The 23,337-nt window shown below is 33.6% G+C and overlaps 1 long non-coding RNA gene across 1 annotated transcript in view; it reads left to right on the top strand.

The window, feature by feature from the left end:
• Positions 1–23,337, top strand: part of LOC105377261 (uncharacterized) — a 148,733-nt gene that overhangs the window by 121,778 nt on the left and 3,618 nt on the right. Inside the window, exon 4 of the long non-coding RNA XR_007058453.1 lies at positions 10,410–10,488. This is a non-coding gene — a long non-coding RNA (uncharacterized LOC105377261). The remainder of the gene's footprint in view (positions 1–10,409; positions 10,489–23,337) is intronic.

Here is a 23,337-nt window from a genome sequence, read left to right on the forward strand (position 1 = left end):
GTGTTGAGCAATAGGAAATGTAGAAAATTTAATTGTAGCAAGTTAAAATTGCAAAGGAAATAAAATGATTTTAAATAAATTTTAACGCAATATTTTTATGTCAAATATGATCTTTTATAATTTATTAACCTGTAATTGGCTACCCATTTATAAAATAATATAATGAAATCTGCACATCACATATTATACCTATGTGAAAATACATTCACAATGGCAAAAGGACATTTTATATATATATATATTAAAAAATACATATTTATGTTATACATATGTATGTATATAACTAAACTATTAAGATATGAGATGAGAATAAATACAGTTTTAAAAATAACCTTGTAATGAAAGATGTAGCATGAGTTTCACAATTCTGAAGTAAAGTATTTCTAGATTTAACTGTAAATTTTTAAGTTTCTATAGAGTAAAAATGTTATATAAACAAAGTTAACAAGAAATGAAAGGCTGAATGAAATTCTTATTATAGAGAATTTCATGACAATACAAATAATCCTCTAACATTAAACAAAAAGAGCACTTAATTGAAATAACACAAGTGTAAATAGTTATCCATAAAAATCAAGTATCTATGTAACTTTGCCACAAGGCACAAACGTCTTGTGTAGTGCTTGATCAGAAAATAAGCAAAGAAATGGAAAATGAAATAAGACTATTTCAACCCTAAAATACTGGCTTTTTTTCAATTTTATTATATTCGTTATCAAATATGGTATGAGATTAAGAGCACTTTTATATACTCCTTGTGCCAATTAAATTGACACAGGCATTGTAGGAGCATATTTGAGCATCTGTGACAGACTTAAGATGAGTATTTCCACTAATGTATAAATTTGGCATAAGAAACCTGTTTCATAGAAACACAACTATATACATATATATATTTACATATCCTTTTAAAATTACATACAAATATGTTCATAGAAATATTGTTCATAATTATGACCAGTTGGAAAGATCTAAAGCTCTACCAATAAAGAACAAATTACATCATAGAAGACTATATCCTTTAGAAAACTAGGCAGCCATGTAAAAAAAAGATGCATTAAAAAACACTCTCTAAGCCATATTATGAAGTAAAAAAAAAGAAAAGAAATATAAGAATTCATAGACAAATATGTATATTGCAATTCAATTTCTGTAAAAATATCAGAAAAATAGAATCTTTGTGTATGTGCATACATATACATAGAACTGAAAAATTGTCAACCAAATTAAGAATAGATTCACGTGTGTATATATTTTAAAATTCATTATATCCCGGGTGCATTCAATACTACTTAAGAAGAAGAATAAAATGTAAATGATATATACACATACAAAAAATCTTAAAATGACTCAAACATTGTCAAAACCTTGCATCTAGTTAGATATAATTACTATCATCATCTGAGAAAATACTGTTTTTAGCACTATATAAAGACTGTTGATATATCTCATTTAATTCCTGTAGGACCTCGATTTTTCTCACATGCATAGATATTACATAACCTGTTCAAGTCATACAATTAATAAATGACAGATCTCAAATTCGATTCCATGTTTCACTGATTACAAATACAGTGCCTTTTGAAATACAACAACAATATCACATCTTGCTTATAGAGGGAAGTTGCTTAGAAATGCTTATAAATTGATCACTTTAAAATATTTTATCTATGTCACAAAAATAAAATATTGTTGAATGATTACAATCTCTTAAAATAAAATCATCAATTTAACAAACAAAATCAGTGATATGTCCAGTTGCATTACTTATGTAATGGAAAGAAGACTACTCTTATATATTTGTAAGTATTGTGTTCAAAGGGCAATTGTACAGAAAAGTTTTACTGCATGCTCTTTTTCACCCTGGATACTTTTTCTTCCAAATCCATCCAATTATTTCTCCACATTGTAGTCAGCACTATCCTTCATAAATGAACATTTGATCATATTATTCTTTGCATAAACCTTTTCAATGTCTTACATGTGTCTTTAAATTAAATCTAAACCCTTTAACACAGATTGCCACAGGATAGCATAGCATTTTGGGTAAGCATCCAAACTCTAAAAAAAGCCTGCGTTCAAATCCTGAGTCGGGATTATCATTCATTTTTAAACTTGGAAAGATATCTTATTTCTTTTTGCCTCAATTATCTTATCTTTAATATAGGTCTGATAAAATGCCTAATAGATAATAAAAATTAAATCTAAAAATCCATGAGGAACTTAAATTGTGTACACATAATTTAGCGCTGATGTTTATTTTTACAAGACACTAGTCAGACTGATGTGCACATTTCTTTGCCCAAAATACTGTACATCTTTGTCTCTGAATCTTTGCACACGTCATTCTGTTGGTTGAAACGTACTTACCTTCCTTGCCTGTCTGACGGCTGTTATCCCTGTGGTCTCAGCTTAGATACTGCTTCTATCAGGAATACTAACTTGAAGAACCAAGCCAGTGCCAGATACACCTATTCAAATATTTCAGAGTTTCCTTTACTTCTCCAATCATAGTCCTGATCTCACTGTAATAATGGAATTAATTTTTTTTATCCTTCACCTGAACTTAATACCATAAAGCACTCACTTTGGAGTTAAACAAATTAGCTCTGGTTCTTTCTTACTCTTTAAACTCAGCCACAAAACCTTTCTGATGCACAGTTTACCTAAACTATAAAATAAAGTCCATATACCTTATTTTCAGAAATTAGTAATGTAATGTAGATGCCTTACCTTAGCATAGATTATCAACAAGAGGAAATCTGCAGTAAATGATATTTCAAAGTGTTATTCCTCTGCTTAAACTGGTGCCAGGTACAGAAGAGCCACTCTAAAAATTTGGGTGAATAGTGCAATAATTGTCCTCAGTAGTGTAAAAATGTTGCTATTCCTGTATAAATAAAAATAACAGCCCTCTCCCTTCATGTCAACCTAACCAAGACATATTTTCTAAAATGCTGTAATACCTATGCCTTTTACAAAGTCAGGAAAAGCCAATAAGATAATACAAAACAGCAATTGTGACTACTTAATTGTCAGAAATTAATAATATTGTCATAATGATCAAGACACTGAATAGATATTCTTATATATTATTGGTGATAATAGAAAATGATACTGCCATAATGAGGCAATAGATATCCAAATTTTAAAAATGTATATACCCTTTGTTTTATATTCCACTCCCAAAACCTTATGTAAAAGAGATAAATTAATACACAAACTATCACAATGATTTCAATGCATCATCATCTATAAGAGAGAAAAATTCATAGCTCCTTAATTTGAGTGTGTGCTCAATTAATTATGATAAATAAAACTATGGACTGTGTATAGTTTTTATATGGTTTGAGTAGAGTTCCATAAATAACATGAAAAAATAATGGGTTGCTAATTAAAATATGTAATCTTATGCTATCAGAATATGTACATGAACGTATGTGTCAGTGTGTGTGTACATATTTTAAAATTGGTTAGTATGTTCAATAATGATGGAACTGACTGCATCAGACAGATCCTCCTGCATATATCAACTATAACTTGAACTATGTATTTTTAAAAAATTTAAGGCAGAGAATAGATAAGATTTACCCTTTATGGAAGAGAACCACACTGTGTCAGCTTTACATACTTTTCCCCCTAAAGGCTCTCTTTAATTTGCACAGCATGGCCAAACTCTAGCAGAAAAGCATAGTTTCATTGGCTGGAGTGTCAGAAAACAGTCTGGGGCTACCATAATGGTTGGAAATTTAGGAAGAGAATACCAAAAATTAGTGAGTTACACGTGGTAGAAGCTCACCACCTGTGTACATACAAAAATCTAGTCAAAGCCCCAGCTGTTCCTTAATCAACACTTGAGAAGGACACACTCCAAGGAACATGGACTTAAAAACAGTGGCAGGGCACTATTCAAAATAGTAAAGACGTAGAATAAACCTAAATGCCCACTGACAATAGACTAAAGAAAATGTAGTACATGCCCAGGTGCAGTGGCTCATGCCTGTAATCCCAAACATGTCAACTAACTCCTGAGCTCAAGTGATGCACCTGCCAAGGCAAGTGTTTATTCCCAGCACTTGCGAAGTCAGGTGCATCACTTGAGCCCAGGAGTTAGAGACCATCCTGGACAACATGATGAAAACCATCTCTGCAAAGAATACAAAAATTAGCAGGGTGTGGTTGTATGTTCCTGTAGTCCCAGGTACCCAGGAGGCTCGGGTAGGAGGATTGCTTGAGCCCAGGAGGTTGAGGCTGCGGTGAGCTGTGGTTGTGCCACTGCACTCAAGCATGGGTGACAGAGTGTGACCCTGTCTCAAAAAAACAAAAAAAAAAAAGAAAGAAAGAAAAAAAAGAAAAGAAAAGAAAAAGCAAAGAAAGATTGGGAGGCCAAGGCAGGCAGATCACTTGAGGTCAGGAGTTCAAGAACAGCCTGGCCAACATGGTGAAACTCCATCTCTACGAAAAATACAAAAATTAGCCTGGTGTGGGGGTGGGCGCCTGTAATCCCAGATAAAATAATCCCAGTAAGATGTCCATCCTCTGTTGCCTGAGCCATGCGTGAGTTGAGGGTTGCATTCAGAGGCACAGCAAAATTTAAACCTTCATCTGGCTGTAAATTTTGACCTGACCAGACTTTCTGGGATCTCCTTTGTACTTTCTTACCTCAGCGGTAAGCCAGGGGTGTGGGGTAGGTTAGTATAACAGTGTTTCTATTATTCTCTCAATTTCCAAATCTCTGCATTAAATTTCTAGGTGCTTTGTCACCTTATCTTAACTATTTCATCACTTCTGAAGGTAAAACTTTGGGTTTTGCCACCTGTCATGACCAGAATAAAAGTTCCACCAGGTAAGAAGATCACAAACTCACTCATCGTATACAATGCAGTGTAATTTTTTGTAAGTCGATAAAGTTAATCCTCATTATTTACAGATACTATATTTGCAAATTTGCCTACTGGCTAATGTGCATTTGTAATTGCAATAGCTGTACTCATGGGCTTTGGTGCTTATTCGCAGACATGCACAAAATGGTGAAAAATTTGAGTGGCACATGTTCCCAGATGAGATAGAAAAAGACAATGTTCTCCCTTGTTTAGTTCTCATACAATGAACGAGGGTCGTTTTTACAGTCTATTTACAGCCACATTTTTCACGTTTGTACTTTTTGTTGACGATTTTGCTGTTTAAATTGACCCTGAAGTGTAGTACTGAAATGCTGTCTGGGTTCCTCAGTACAAGAAGGCTGTGCTGTGCCTTACAGAGAAAACACGCATGTCAGACATACCCATTCAGGCATGAGTAGTAGTGCCGCCAGCCATAAGTTCAATATTAATGAATCAATGACATAGATTTAATAGGGCATCTTTAAAGAGAAACACCCATAAAAGAAGATTATTTATTGATCAGTTGATGAAAATACTGTAACTATAAGCTAGGGGGAATCTAACCATGAATTTCCCCCAAGAGCAATGATTCTGGGTTCATTAATTCAGTGTTCTCAGCAAAGTTATAGAATATAAGTACCACGAATAACAAATATCAACTATACTTCTCAAGCTGTTGTCCATCTTTGAATATTTTTCAGTGTTCTAAAATTGTTGTTTATGATAGTATGGCTAGTTATAGTATACTCTTTTTTTCTACAGTAGATTCCCTGAACTTCTCATGTTGTCATTTCTGAAAGTAGAGTATGCTGCTTATCTTATATTATTTTTTCAATATTAATATATTTTTTGGATTTTACAGTTTATCTCATAGCTTCATTTTGTTATATTATTAGCTATGAAAATTACATGAAAAGAATGATTTGAGAGACTCTGTGTTCTCAGTATTATGGCATTCATATACACGTTCTTTTTTTGTTCCTGCTACTTAAACAAAAGCCTAATATCTTTGGAATGATTTCACGACAAAATATAAACTTTTCTACAAATTTAAAAATATAACTTACCTAAAGAAATTAAGTAGAACATATATTCAGAGTGTTACAAAATTAACAAAGTAAATCATTTTGTGTTCTACGGAAAATCTAATAGATTATTTTCAGTACTTCCGAGGCCACCTGAATTCTCTTCTGTCAGGAACTTAATCCTTCCCCAAGAATTAACCACTATGTTGAGTTGTGATAATCATTAATCATTATTTTAATTTCTTTATTTTAGATTTATGTATAGATTCTGAAGCAATACTGTTTTTAGTTTTGCTTGGTTTTAAAATGTGTAAGAATGGACTCCTACCATACATACTTCTGTTCCATATGGTTTCTTTTGTCCAATATATTATTTATAAGATTCATCCGAATTTTTGTGTATAGCTTTAGCTCACTCATTTTTATTGCCATATGATATTTCATTGTATGAATATATCATATATTTATTAAATCCATTCTACTGTAAATGACCATTTGGATTGTTTGTATTGCCTGCCTGTGCCAAACTATGGTGTTATGAATGTCCTGTGACTTTTAGTGCATGCATTTGTCATTTTATGTAGGGTCTATGCATAGTGTTAGGATTTCTGGGTCAGAGGGTATACAAATTTTATAATTTAACAGATAATGTCAAAAATGTTCAAAAAAACATGCTCCAGGTCCTTGTTACCAATGGTTATTTTTTTCAGTAGTGGTATTTTTTGAGATTTTAATTTGCTTTTCCCTGATTACTAATTTGATTAAACATCTTTTCATATAATTATTTCACTTTTCTTTTTAAAAAAATTCATTTATACATTTTGGAAATTCCCCCCTCCCTCCATCAGTTTGGGTTATTTTTTTTAACTGCATGAAAATATCCTTTTCATATTTTGGGCAACAGGGTTTTTGTTAGCTTTTTAAATGTTGAGTATTTTCTCCCATGTTGCGACTGGTATTTGTATTTTCTTCACGGTATCTTTTGATAAATACAGTTTATATATTTTATTATATATATTATTTATTATGTTAATAAATACAATATTAACTTTTTTGTATTTTAACTCATTAGTCTTTTAATCTATTCTCATAGCTTTTTTTATTGTTTCATAACATGCATTGAAGTAGGTTCTTGTAAATATTTCACTCTATTATATTCTACATAATAATATTCTGTCCATAGTTTTAGCTTTTCTTTATTTGGAATTGATATTTTAATGTAGCAGGAAGAGAGTTTATGATTTCATTCTATGTCACATTGATATCCCATTGCTCAACCATCATTTATTTAAAAGATTGTTTATTCTGTATTGATCATTCATTCCATGTTGGGCATACGTTGTTCCATACAACATATCAATATTTCTGCTAATTCTTTGCTCCACTTATATAGGTTATTTAATACACTTGAACCAATACAATATCATCTTAACAATTATTGTTTCAATATTGTCTTGTTATTTTCAGAGTAGATTTTTTTACCTGGTCATTTTATTTATGGGTGTCTCGTTATTTTCTCTTAATTGGCTCAATAGTATAATAATAAATAATAATCATTTCTGTATTTTAAGTAGAATTTTATTTAATCTATTGTCAGTCTTAGGAAATTTTTCCCTTTTAAAATATTGCATCTTCCAGTCTATGAACATGGTGTGTCTCCCCATTTATTCAAGTCTTTTTTTCTCTTTAAGTTGTTATATTTTTCTCTGAAAAAAATCTTTCTGTACTTTGAAGTTTACTCCTATGACCTCCATGCTCCATATCAGATTAGTGCACATTATTTTTTTCATGTATCTTCATGTTTTTATCTATATCTTATCAGTTTCTACTCTGAATTAAAATAATTTTTATAGATATTTGTTTTTCACACTAAATTTGTAGGCTACTCAAGAACAGGGAATACATTTCATCCATTTTTAAGCCTAACATAGTTTCTCACATTATATTCTCAGAAAACCTATGTTTATTACAATGTGACAGTCAGCATATAGAAATGGTTATGGTAATTACAGTAAAACTATTCAACATAGTGTTCTTTAAGCTGAAACTGGATCCCTTCCTTACACCTTATACAAAAATTAATTCAACAGGGATTAAAGACTTAAATGTTAGACCTAAAAATCAATTCAAGATGGATTAAAGACTTAAACATTAGACCTAAAACCATAGAAACCCTAGAAGAAAACCTAGGCAATACCATTCAGGACATAAGCATGGGCAAGGACTTCATGACTAAAACACCAAAAGCAATGGCAACAAAAGGCAAAATTGACAAATGGGATCTAATTAAACTAAAGAGCTTCTTCACAGCAAAAGAAACTACCATCAGAGTGAACAGGCAACCTACAGAATGGGAGAAAATTTTTACAATCTACCCATCTGACAAAGGGCTAATATTCAGAATCTACAAAGAACTTAAACAAATTTACAAGAAAAAAACAAACAACTCCATCAAAAAATAGGCAAAGTATATGAACAGACACTTCTCAAAAGAAGTCATTTATGCAGCCAACAGACACATGAAAAAATGCTCATCATCACTGGCCATCAGAGAAATGCAAATCAAAACCACAATGAGATACCATCTCACACGAGTTACAATGGCAATCATTAAAAAGTCAGGAAACAACAGGTTCTGGAGAGGATGTGGAGAAACAGGAACGCTTTTACACTGTTAGTGGGAGTGTAAATTAGTTCCATCATTGTGGAAGACAGTGTGGCAATTCCTCAAGGATCTAGAACTAGAAATACCATTTGATCCAGCCATCCTATTACTGGATATATACCCAAAGGATTATAAATCATGCTGCTATAAAGACACATGCACACGTATGTTTATTGCGGCACTATTCACAATAGCAAAGACTTGGAACCAACCCAAATGTCATCAATGATAGACTGGATTAAGAAGATGTGGCACATATACACCATGCAATATTATGCAGCCATAAAAAAGGATGAGTTCATGTCCTTTGTAGGGACATGGATGAAGCTGGAAACCATCATTCTGAGCAAACTATTCCAAGGACAGAAAACCAAACACCGCATGTTCTCACTCATAGGTGGGAATTGAACAATGAGAACACTTGGACACAGGGTGGGGAATATCACACACTGGGGCCTGTTGTGAGGTGGGGGAAGAGGGGAGGGATAGCATTAGGAGATATACCTAATGTAAATGACTGACGAGTTAATGGGTGCAGCACACCAACATGGCACATGTATACATATGTAACAAATCTGCATGTTGTGCACATGTACCCTAGAACTTAAAGTAAAATTAAAAAAAAGAAATTATTGTATAGATGTTAACATTATGGAAAAATATCCATGGATTTAAAATAAAACACTGGAGTCATGTTTATCTTTTCTGCCTCTCACATCCGTCATCAACTTCACAGTAGTAATGTTGACTCAATTCTTATATGTAGTATCTTAACCTTTCTATTATATATTACCTCTACCCTCTGCACTATCACCATGGTCCAAGTGTCCTTCACCTATTTCTCAGAAGATGGCAACAACCTGTCTCACTAACAAAAAGTAATTTTATGTAGTTATCAAGGTAATCATTTTTAAATGCAAGTCCAATCAAAAGACTACTGTCTAAGTCTATTGGGGCTGCTGTAACAATATATCACAGACTGGGTAACATATAAACAACAGATTCTATAGCTCACAGTTCTGGAGACTGAGAGTCCAAGATAAAGGCACCAGCAGATTTGATATCTAGTGAGGGCCTATTCTTCATAGATGCTGCTTTCTGTGTGTTCTCACATAGTGGAAAAAGGCTAGGGAGCTTGATTAAGATTCACTGATGAGTGCACTTATCCAATTCATGAGGATGGTGCCCTCATGACTTAATCACACCCCAAAGGCCCTACCTCTTAATACTACCACATTGGGTATTAGGTTCCAACATTTAATTTTTCGGGGGAGGACATCAACATTTATACCACAGCAAGTACTCTGTTTGAAAATGTTCTAAATCACTTTTCATTTCACTCCTAGTCAAAGCCAGAATCTTATAATAATCTGTAAGGCTATAGATGATCTGGCCTTACCTTATCTCTCCAAATGCATCTACTGCTTTTGGCATCATTTAATACTTTTCATCTACACCAATTTCTCAGACATTCCTTAAAAAGTACAGACATGCTCATGTTTTCTGTCTTTGCGATTGCACTTCCTTGTAAATTGGACCCATCCCAGTATTCAAACAGATGTATTCCTTGTCTCCGTTAATGAATTTGTTAAGACTTTGGTTTAAATGCCATATTTTCAGTGAGGCATTTCATGACGAATTTATGTAAAATGACACTGCTCCATTCCCTTCCAAATTATCTGTAGTCTTTACATCTATTTTCTGTTTAGTTTTTTTTCTTTATTACCATGAAATACATGGCATATCTTACCACGCAACATGTACACAATCATATAATTATATACTTTTACTATAATTTACTCATTTATATGAATTATCTTTCTTCTCCCATTCTAGAATTCAAGCTCCAATAATAAAGATTTTTCTGCTTTGTTCTTCTGAGTCCCTTGTGCTGAGAAAACTCATCTAGCATATGGTAAGAATTCAAAAATTATGTTTAGTAATTTCAAGAAAATTCTGTAAACAAGCAAAATTTGAAAAATATTTTAAATAGTTTAATATAAAAGTTAGAGACAAGATGTTTTTTCTAACTAGCATATTTGATGTATGATATTTTTTAGCTTCATACCTATTATCTGAGCTATTGCATGTAAATATTAGATATCACATTAAATTTGGATTATAAATAAATTAATAGAAAGTATTGGCCAGGCATGGTGGTTTATGCCTGTAATCCCAGCACTTTGGGAGGCAGAGGCGGGTGGATCACCTGTCAGAAGTTCGAGACCCGACTGGCCAACATGCCGAAACCCCTTCTCTACTAAAAATACAAAAAAATTATCTGGGTGTGGCAGCGGGTGCCTGTAATCCCAGCTACTCCGAAGGCTTGGGCAGTATAATTGCTTAAACCCGAGAGGTGGAGGTTGCGGTGAGCCGAGATCATGCCATTGCACTCCAGACTGGGCAATAAGAGTGACACTCCATCTCAAAAAAAAAAAAAAAAAAAAAGTATTGATTGATTAATAAGAGGAGTTATCAATGAATAATGTCTTCTCTACTTATACTTTAACTGATTTTTAACAGATTCATTAAACTATACTCTTCAAGGAAGTAACAAATAACTTAAGCACTTAGAACTTATCAGATATGAGTGTTACGTGTGTATTCTCAGTTTGTTATTTGGAAGTCATTTTTATAATGCTGCATGTGCTTGAAGAGGGATTTCTCTTTAATTGTCATCATATTTCAGATGCACAGTGAGAAGCCCATTAACTATGACCTTGTCTGAGGAGAAAGCAGGGAAATAGTTAGAATGATAGAATATTTTTTTGGAAGTACACAGTTGGCATCGAGACCAGATTTTCTTAGATCATTAATAAATATGCTCTAAAAGTGAAGTCTTTAATGATTTTAAAATAAATTCTAACAAAAGAAATTCCAAAGGCTCCTCTTAAAATGTCTGATCAAGCATTACTGGCAGTATAAGCCAAAGAAGACAACATATAAAACTATAACAAAAACAATCCAGAACATTAATTACTATTTTAAAAATATTTAGTTAACTATTACTGCAACACCAAAACTACTAATATAACGAATTAAAATTACAATTTATAATTACTCCAAATTCTGTTGTTTAGATGGGTGGTTCTTCTGCTGGTTGCACCTGGGCTTACTCATGTGATTACCACTAGCTAGTGGGTCAGCTGCCCTAGGAGACCAATGATGGCCTCACTCATTCTGGAAGCTTCTGGCTGGTTGTCAACTGAGGCACCTTGGCTCGCCTCCACAGTCTCTATTTTCTAGATAGCTAGACCAGATTTTTTTATAAGATGGCAGAAGTGTTTCAAGAGGGTGAATGTAGAATAGTTGCAAAACCTCGTGTGGCTTGGGCTCCAGAACTCACACAAGGTCACTTCCACTATCATTTATTGGTCAAAGCAGGTCATGAGGGCTGCTGAGATGTAAGGGTTTGGGGGATCGGCTCCACTTTTAACAAGAGGAGTAGACCAGAATCTATGATCATATTTAATTTACCACAATCCCATGAGACAATTTCATCAAATTTTGCAATAGGCTCTGAGTAACAGAGGTATCATTTAAGAGTTTATAATAGCATTTAGATTCATAGATAGAAGGTTACTGATAAGATTTAGTGAAAGATAAAAAATTAGTCAATATAAGAATTCAATGTGATGTCCAATTGCACAGTTCATTTTTCTATAGCCACTTGGTGCTGTGATTTATTTTGATTGAAAATGAATTAAAATGTAAATAAAATGGTTTGTCAAATCAAAGTGGATGTAAAATCAAAGTTATCTACACAATGAATAAAATATAGGTATGATTGAGCTTCACAGTTCTATTTAATGAGCAGAATACAAAAGTATAATGCATAATCGCTGACCATATAGATTTTCTAGTCCTAAAAGGAGATAATATATGGACATATTAAATGACTCAAACTTCCTGTTTTAGGGGCACTATTCCTGGGCATGCTGCTACCAGTGCAGTAACCAGGGCACTACCTACCATCATTAGCACCATTTTCAGATTACAGACAAGATACGAAGTGTAATGTCAAATCACCAAATTCAAGCAGGATTAGATAAGAAGCTGAGGTTCAGAGAAAATGTGTGAGAACCCAGGGGCCATGATTTGTAGGCTCATCACAGACAGACGGAAATCAAACCAGATAAAAGTTCTTTAGGGCAAAGTTCAGGTGCTTTTATTGGCTTCTATTGAATGTGACTACTAGTTTATGCCAAGATCAAAGTTGCTGACATTATACAGAGACAAAGGTGCCAACACCAAAAACACATGTAAGGGCTAAGTGAGTATTAAAGGCAGCCTGAAATAACATCCTAAATCAATGATCCTCAAAGTTTAGTGTCCATGTACCTCAAGGGCTTGCTGAAGCACTGACTGGTGGGTCCCACTCTCAGAATTTCTTTTGATTGAGTAGGTCTGGGGTAGGACCTGAGAATTTGCATCTGTACCAAGTCCTAGATGTTACTATTGCCACTGGTACAAGAAACACACTTTAAGAAACACTATTCTAGATAAAAAAAAAAAAAAAAATACCGCATCAGCCATCAAATATTATATCCTATGCTTTAGGTTGCCAGCATTTGGAACATCAGAAGCTTCTGCAGGATCTGACATCACTAATGCTTCTAGAAAGTTTATTTTTTAACTATCACTAATGTCTATTATATTTTACACCACTATCCTTCGATTCCATGCACAGGTAGCTGCATTTGTTTGGCAAAGTCTAGTTCATATGTTAATGTTAGCTGCAAGTCAACTTCAACTCATAATTTCAGAAATTTCCCAAACATAAAAGTGTTTCTGATTCTGGACAGCCAACAGAAATGTCAAATGTGTGTTCCAGGAAGAGAGATCTCAGTTGGCAAGAGGGAATCTTAGCCTCTTCTGGATCTGGATATCTCAGGCCTCAATTTCAAGTCCAGATATAGTTAAGTTACTCTTATTTTGTATAGACGAAAGAAGGGCTCTGAAAAGCAGTGGCAGCCTGAACTCTAAACAGGTAATTATTACCCTAAGGCATGCCAAGTTAAAGACAACTATTCTAAATATGTAGGAGCCAAAATATCTAATTTTGTTTCCCTTTTGGTATTTATTTCTATTTCCCTAACACCAAATCAATAGAAGCTTTTAACTTAAGTGTTCCAATCTTCTCTCAATTATACTGCCCCAAGGGCTCCTTTTGAAAGATGGGGAGAATTGTCTTTGTAAGAACTGATGTGATAATAATATTCTAGGTAAATATTAAAAGGAGATAATACTCAGATGACAAAAGTTGGGGTTCCAAGATTCCATGGCCATTTTCAATTCTATAGGATCTGGGATTTATCTTATAGACTGAATGGTAAATTTAGTATAGAAGGTTACATAGAAGGCTATTTTAATAATGCTATGTGAGGGTTAAGGGTATGGGTTAGAATGATAAGGTGAAATAGACAGAAATTTGGAAAAGGAATATCACATCATTTGAAGAAAAATGATGGGTCTCTGTGACTGAATAATTATAGGTACTGAAATATTTGCTTTAAGGATAATTGGAAACACAGGATACCATTATTAAAAGACAGACAAATTGGTAGAGGATCTGACTTGAAGAAAAAAGAAAACCATTTTGGATATATTGCATTTGTGGTCACAGAAAAATATATTTATTTTGAGATATAATACTGAAGCATAGGAAACAGGTAGGTATTAGATATAAACTCAGTGGCTTTCTCCAAGCAGACAATGTTCAAAACTCTTGATAATAATGTGATAAAAAGTAAAATAAGGCCAGGCTCGGTGGCTCATGCCTGTAATCCCAGAACTTTGGGAGGCCGAGGCAGGCAGATCACCTAAGGTCGGGAGTTCGAGACCAGTCTGACCAATATGGAGAAACCCCATCTCTACTAAAAAATACAAAATTAGCCAGGCGTGGTGGTGCATGCCCATAATCCCAGCTACTCAGGAGGCTGAGGCAGGAGAATGGCTTGAAGCCAGGAGGCGTAGGTTGTGGTGAGCCAAGATCGCGGTATTGCACCCCGGCCTGGGCAACAAGAGCGAAACTCTGACTCAAAAAAAAAAAAAAAGTAAAATATTCTGAAATTTTTATGAAGAAAAATCATAACTGAAATTAGAAACTTTAGGAAAAAAAATTTATCCTTTTAAAAATATTTCCAAGTATTAAACTTTTGGGTATAGTGGAGAGCTAAAAGCCTAGTGTTACTGAATACCTGATGTCTATATGATGGGAAGAAATTAATAAATATCATTGGAATTGTTGCCTACCGTGTGTTCCACATGACTTAGAAATGAAGGCATTATTGAGAGTAAGAATATTAATACTTAGGGAAACAATTTGCCCTCTGAACCTTTATCACATTGTAGTTTGTTGTATAAACAGCACCTAGAACAGTATTTAATATGTAATAAATTCTTAATAAATATATGGTTATATAATATGTGTATGGGCTTTGAACTGTGAAACAACAATGCTGCAATACTGAGTAGATGCAAAAAATAAACTCAGATTTTACATTTGTGAAAGTTGTTGAAATGGAATGCTCACTAATCTTCAAATGGTCCTAATCTCAGCATAGAATAGATGTAGAGTATTCATATAAAATGTTGGATCATAATTCAGAATGAACTTGAATTGGTCTTTGATTTTAGAAAACACATTTATACTCAAAACACAGGTATACTTAACAGACAGACTAATGAATGGAATGTACCTTCTTATTCTCATCCCATGACTGCCAACACTCAGCTACCAGCACTTATGATTTTGATCTAAACTTTGCGGTTTCTTAGAATTGCTCTGAGTCTATAAATTTGAACATTTTTTCTTAATGGCACAACCCTATATATTCCAGCTCCCACTTACCTTATCTTAGTAAACTTTTTATATTACTTTCTAATAGATTGGCAAGCCCTCTTTTTATCCACCAAAATAAATATCTTGTTTGATTTACTGTTTTTCTTATATAACTTAGGCCCTGTGAAAAGTCCCTTCAATCAGTCTCCAAATCAAGTTTCTCATAATTCGCTCTTTCACTTTGTTCTTCCTGTTTTCCCTTCTAAAATATTTTTATAGCACTCATATCCATGAATTGCAATAGTTGGTTTGTGTGTTTCTCACTTATCTATACCATGATATCATTGAGGACAGGAGGACATTTAGTGCTATTTGTCTAAAGCCTCGCATGTCATTGTATTTGAAGGAATAAATTTGGAAAACTATAATAGTGTGAAAAATTAAATATCTATAATAAGTTACTATGAGAAAAAGAGCAATGTATGCTTATTTGGAAAGAAGAAACATTGGACACACAGAAACTTACTGAGTAACATCATATACACTTGGAGAAGATAGACTGTTCAAAATAACCTCTGCCCAAATTATCAGAATTTAAAAACTTATATATATTAAATGCTTACAAATACATTTCTGACATTTAGATACTGTATAGAGGATTATTATTAATATCTGTTCTATTACCTGGTCAGTATTTAGCCCCTTGCTTTTGTATCAATTCTGAGCATGTCCTTATGCATCAATAATGCAGTGGATAGCAACGTTGATTGATACTTTTGCCTCTCCTTGGGGGAATAAAAAGCATAACAAAATGTTTTTCAGTATTAACTTTAAAAGTGGTTAGAATTTACAAATTACTAGAGGTTGTAACACAAGATAATAACTAATATTAAGTTTAAATGTTCAGAGAAAAAATGTATTTAGAATGTATAAGATAAAAATCAACAAAGCTAAATATTTAATGTATCTCAAATATAAAATATATATATTACATACAATATATAAAATATAATGTAGGCCAAAATAAATATTCCAATATTTGTTTACAAATAACTTATTCAAAATAAAATACTGTTAAAATTTAAAACCACATTTAATATTAAAATCAGTGAATTTACTAATTTTATATCATATATAAAATTATTAGATTTGACAATTATATGTAGCAATTTAATTTGGTAGAAAAATATAATCTTTCCAAAAAATGGGCTTTATGTTTTTGACACCAAATTGTGAGAATTTGTATGTATGTATGTGAGTGTGTGTGCACATATTTTCATTTGTTGGAGAATTTATTTAGGACCCTAAATAACTGGAAGAGAGTTGAATAGATAATGATCAACGAATTTCAAGTATTTCCTCAAGTTTCTTTTTCCTCAAATAACCTCAAATTTTGGTGGCTGTATTAGTCTGTTTTACCCTGCTATCAATAACTATCTTAGACTGGGTAATTTATGAAGAAAAGAGGTTTAATTGACTCAGAGTTCCACAAGCTTAACAGGAAGCATGACTTGGGAGGCCCCAGAAAAATTGCAATAATGGTGGAAGGTGAAGGGGAAGCAAGCACCTTCTTCACAAGTCAGAGCAGGAGAGAGAGAGAGAGAGAAGGGGGAAGTGCCACACAGTTTTAACCCATCAGTTCTCATGAGAACTGACCGGTTATCACTAGAACAGCAAGGGGGAAATCTATCCCCATGATTCAGTCACCTCCCATCAGGCACCTCCTGTAAATCAACTTGAGATTTGGGCAGGGACGCAAATCCAAAGCATATCAGTGGCTAATTTAGAAAAGAAAAATTCCTTTTAATGAAGGACTATTAAACAATTTTATTGATAAACACCTAAAACTTCTATTTTCTTCAATCATCTTCTTTAGTTTAGATTATCAATTTCATTAATGCTCTGTTCATATCCTGTTTGTCCAGAAAGTCTTATGTTAGGAATAAGATATTCTTGCCTGACAATTTTCCCCCTTATCTTACTTTTTTTTTCCTCTTTGCTTTATTTTTTCCCCATCTCCTCTCCCTTTCCTTCCTCCTCTTTCTTATCTATTTTTTTTGACAATTAACAAAAGAGCACAGAAAATTATAGACTCTGTAAAAGTCGGTAGAAATAGTACAATTTCCTCTTATAATAGTGGAGAAAACTATATTAAGGTATATGTAACACTATGAAAGTATTATAATATAAAATTTAATATATTTATCCTACTTAGATGAACATACTTTTCAATTAATACACCAAGAATTCAAGAATATATCAAGAGAAGATAATTCACAGTGAAATAACTAATTTTTGTTACTAAGTGGCAAAAGGAATTTTAGTAGTATTTGAATATATAATCCTATGCATTTGTATTTTTAAGAACCATAATATTTTTCTACTTAACTTCTATTTCTCCAATTACTTATAAATTATGTTTTATTCTTGAGTAATTTGTTTTTTTATTTTAAATTTATAATTAAAATTCTTATAATGGACAGAAATTCATTACAGGTTTACACAGTTTATTATTTTGGCATCTATGTTCATGCATAATATGTATTTTTTATAAAATAATTTTGTATTTGGTTAGTATTAGAGATAATATTTGATGTGGCTGTTATTTTTAAATAAATCTGGTTGAATTTTTTAAACGGAAAATTTACAACTCAATGTTGAAATCATAAACTTTCCAAAATATAATTAATTTTTAAACCTACAAATACTTAGAAGTATGTTCCATGGTGGGAGTTGTCTTGTTCAGTAAAATAAGTCAGGAATTTGAAAAGTACAGGGAGAGAGGACAATGCGTACCATGCATACAATGTAGGCTGACGCTCTTAAGTTGCTTTGACACCCTACAACAAATGAAAAGCAGGACTGTTCACCAAAAATTGAAAACCATGCATGAAAGTCAGAATCCTCCTTGGTTGCTTACAAAGACAACCTTTTTTGCAGCTGTGGTAGAGCAGAAAAATGTAAAGATTAAACTCAGAATTTAATATTTAGAGTCTCTGAGCTTCAGAAACCATTGACTCTACAGATGATAAAAATGTGTAGTGCAAAATATATGACCCTGGGTCAAAAAGCCAGGCACTCTAACACATGGCATGGGAATATCTGGATGCATAATGCATACCACTCAAGATTTCAGCTCCTCACACTCTTTTATATCCCAAAGAATTTACAGAGTTGATCCACCATTCCCTAACAAGAATTATAACTATTCTTGAGTAAAAAGGCAATGAAGAGGCCTCTCTCCCACAACATAATATGATCTGCCCCCTGAAGAGTTTTTCCAACTTCTTGGTTGATGCTAATTTTAGCTTAATCTATCCAGGCATATGCAGGAAACTGTCAATGCTCAAAAGGGGCTGCAAAAGTTAGTCAGCATATTTTATCAAGAAATATGAAACTTTCAGTATGACTGGGTTATGAAAATGCTTGATCAAGATGCCTGACATACAAGACTATACAAGACTGTAAAGTAGAGTTAATTGATTTGGAGATATTATTGATAAACATTATATAATACTATAATATCTTTGTAAGAAACCCAGGAAAAGGTGCTGACTATCTGTTTTGATGATTTCTATAAACTTGAAAAAATGAAAGCGCAGTTGAGTGATGTTAAAATATTTGAATTACTGTGGTAGGTGGTCATGGCAGAAGGGATTAAAATGCCCAGGGAACTGGGCATGGTGCAGTGGAGAACAAAAGAGCCACATTATTCAACAAGGTCACTGAGGTCACTAACTGATGCCTGGTCACAGAGGCATCAGTTTCACTAAGAAGTTCAGTGGTAGGTGACTCTTTTTTTTTATAGCTAGAACTAATGGAAGGAAAGAATATAACACAGGTTGGTTTTCGGTATGAAGGGCCTCAAAGACCTAGAGATAAAATGATCATGCTAAAATCCCAGAAATCAGGCAGTCATAGTTATCATAAAACCAGCAAGTTCAGAGTGACAGTCAAGGGAGGTGAACCCTCATAGTATTATGCGAATGATACTGGAATACGGCAACCCTAAGGGCAAAATAAATGGATAGCCAATCAGGGCACTGCCTAACATAAAAAAATCAAAAGAAACCAATACAGATGATAGGGTCTGAAAGTGGTTACCTCAATAAAAATTTACAGCCCCAGATACCTTCAAACCATTGCTGGAATAAATTAAAGAATACATAAGTAAACATATCCATGTTCATAGGTTAAAAAACAATATTGTTAAGATGTCAGCATTACCCAAAGTGATCTACAAATTCAGTGAAATCCCTATAAAAATACCAATGAGTTTTTTTTGTAGATATAGAAAAACAAATTTTAAAATTCATATAGAATCTCAAGGGTCCCAGAATAGTCAGAACAAATTTGAAATAGAACAAAATGAGGGGACTCATACTTCCCGATTTCAGAGCATATTACAAAGCTGCAGTAATCAAAGCAGTTTAGTGCTCTCATAAAAACAGACAGAGACAAATGAAATGGAATAAAAAGCCCAGAAACAAATTTTTACATATATGGCTAAATAATTTTTCACAAGGATACCCACACCATTCAATAGGGGAAAGGAGAGTCTTTTCAAAAAATGGTGCTAGAAAACTTGATATCCACCTGCAAATAAATGAAGTTAGACTCTTATCTGAGCTATATGCAAAAATTAACTCAAAATTGATTAAACATGTAAAACTTAAATTTATACAACTCTTAGAAGAAAACAGGGCAAAGTCTTCATAACATTCAATTTTGTTTTTAACTTTTACTTTGGATTCAGAGGGTACGTGTGTAGGTTTCTTACCTGGATATATTGCTTTATACTGAGGTTTAGGGTACAAATGATCCTGCAATTTGGGTATTGAGCATAGTACCCGACAGGTAGTTTTTTAGCCCATGTCCACCTCCTTCCCTCCATCCTGTGGTAGTCTCCAGTGTCCATTGTTCCCATCTTTATGTCTACGTGTACTCAATGTTTAGCTCCCCTTATAAGTGAGAACATGCAGTATTTGGTATTCTGTTTCTGTGTTAATTCACTTAGGATAATGGCCTCCAGTTGCATCCCTGTTACTGCAAAAGACATGATATTGTTCTCGTTTACGGTTGCATAGTATTCCATGGTGTACGATATGGTTTGGCTCTGTGTGCACCCAGCCCCCTCCAAATCTGTTCTGGTAGCTCCCATAATTCCCACGTGTTGTGGGGACCCAGTGGGAGATAATTGAATCATGGGGACGGGTCTTTTCTGTGCTGTTCTCATGATAGTGAATAAGTCTCAGGACATCTGATGGCTTTAAAAATGGGAGTTTGCCTGCACAAGCTCTCTCTTTGCCTGCCATCACCTGTGTAAGATGTGATTTTCTCCTCCTTGCCTTCCACCATGATTGTAAGGCTTCCCCAGCAACGTGGAAATGTGAGTCCTCCATTAAACCCCTTTCCTTTGTAAATTGCCCAGTCTCAAATGTCTTTATAAGCAGCATGGTGCTTGTGGCTCAGCTGCCATGACTCAGGAGTCTCAGAAGCCCTCCAAAGCAGTTGCTTTCCCAATTTTGGCTGGAGGTGAGTTTTCCTCTCTGTCTGGCCCTGCCACTACTGGCTCCAATTGCATTCCTGATTGCCACAGAGGAACAGGCTTTGAAACTTGACATCTGCATTCAGATAGGTGAATGTCCTTTGTTGGCCCAGAGGGCAGGATCTGTTCCTCTCAATTTGGGAAATTTTTAAAGGAATTTCCATTTGCAGGTTGAACAAACCCAACTGATTGAGAGAGGAGAGCACCCTGACAGTTTCACTGTGAACACCCTTGGGGCTTGTTTGTAACTGTGTATTGTGTGTGTGTAACTGTGTATTGTGTGTGTGTGTGTGTGTGAGTTTCTTTTGTGGGTAACAGACAGCAGAATTGGCTCCTCTAAATTTGAGAAATTCCAAAGAAAATTTTGTCTGTGGGTTGATCAAGCCCAACCCATGGGGAGAGGAATTACCCGGACTGTTTCAGTTTGCACACTCTTGGAGCTTGTTTGTTTCTGCAGCACTTGGATTGTGCCTTGATGATTGTGTGTTTGATGTAGCCATGGGAAATCAGAATTTGGTAACTGATATTCTTTTACAATACTGTTTGGTCCCAATATTCTTTGGAGTCTGAAGTTCGCTGTTGAATGGAAAAGCAAGATGGAATTCTGTGTATTCAGGCTTTTAAGTTGCTGTTTTAGGCAGTTTTGGGCCGAAGTCTGGAAAGATTTGGATTTTAAAAATCAAACTGCTATGGAAAGTGCTTTACCCAAAATTTTGTTCCATAGCCTTCATCGGATCACCTATCAGGGCTAAGTTTGGCCATGTGAATAAGTTTGTAGATTGCTGAGTCTGTATTGCTATCTCATGACTGGATTCTGAGGTAAAAACTATTGGATCTTCATTTGTGTGTGTGTATACATGCTTAGATGTGTTTATGTGCATGTACATTTATTCTTATATGTTGTGTCTACCAAATTGGCTCATAATTAAAAGTGCATTCATAAATTAAGTTAAAAAGTCCAAGCAACTTTCAAATTCACATGACTTAAGTAAAACTTTAATAAACAAGTTGGCTTTAAAATTATTGGTAAAATAAACATGGAAATGCCTTCAGAGTTGTCAGCAACTCTGAGTTTTATATTTTGTCTGGGTTTTATATTTGTCTCTGCTAGATAAAGTATCAGGGTTGGGCACAGAAGGTTATAAAACTATGAAGCCAGCCAAAACAAAATAGTCTTTGTGTGAATTTTTTGAAAAGTAAGACTAATTTAATGTTGCTGGTTTACGAAAACAACTGAATCTTCTGAGTTATTGGTGAAAATGCCCATGTAGTTAACTTTAAGGTTCTTATTTGGGTGAACATCTGATATTTTCAGGTTATAAAATGAATAACAAGGAAATGATGCATAAATAATCTTTATTAATTGCTAAAATGAATACAATTTAAATGGATAAGTGTTATAGGTGAATTTTTTGTATAAATTAAAATCTTAAAATTGTTTTTGATGCTCATTGGATGCCTGTGTCATTTCCAATTAAGGAAGGGTTATGATATGAGAAAATATGTTTCTAAAAATTGTGGAGTTTTTCTCATCTATAAAATGCTAATATCTGCTATTTCAGGATTTCTTGCTTCCTAGAGTTCACACAATATTAAGGTAGTTACTAAGGATAAGAAGTGGAGTTAATATATAATTCTGTATATAACGTGCCAAAGTAGATGTGTTCCTAGGGAGTAAAAGAATAATTTTTTCTAATTAAGAAGTTATCTACATGTTAATTCAAATTATAAACTTAAAAAGATTATTTATGAAACAAGGTAGAAAGCAACCAGTAAGTAGGGGAGAGATGTGTGAAGAAAGTTATGGGTATGAAGTTATATATTTGGTAAGGAAGGTTATAAAGAAAAGATAATTTTTATATGAGAATGGATCTTGTATAATGAGTTTTTGTCTTAAAGTAAAATGACTGAGTATTTAAAAAAAGAAAACTTAGAATGAAACACAAGGTTCAACACGTCATACATGGTCTATGTAAGTCACATGTAGTTTTTTCTTGTTTCTGTGTGTCTATCTTCACGCATATACAAAGAAAATAGAAAGTTAAAGAAGTTTAGATCATAAAATATTCTTCAAAACCTCATAGAAAACTAGAGAAATTAACATCGTGGATTGTTAAAGCTCTTACTCTTGGTAAAAGTAAAATAAGAAATAGCGTAAAGAAATACATGGGCAGTTAGGCAATTTTTAAATATAGCTAAGCATGAAGCCAGATTTAGCATAGAGCCAAATTTTACATACGTGCTTGCATTGCCTCACACTATATTTGCAATTCTGCATAGGTAGTACTAGCATTAAAGTACTTACAGTCATGCACCTGAAGTGAATTTTTTAATTGTACACAATTTATAGTGGTATTGCTGGATTTAATGACATTAACTTACTGTGCCAGGAGCAAAATGTCCATCGTGTATTTTTGTTAGGCTCTGGATAA

The sequence above is a fragment of the Homo sapiens genome, chromosome 4, assembly GCF_000001405.40.
Source record: "Homo sapiens chromosome 4, GRCh38.p14 Primary Assembly".
Taxonomy (NCBI): domain Eukaryota; kingdom Metazoa; phylum Chordata; class Mammalia; order Primates; family Hominidae; genus Homo; species Homo sapiens.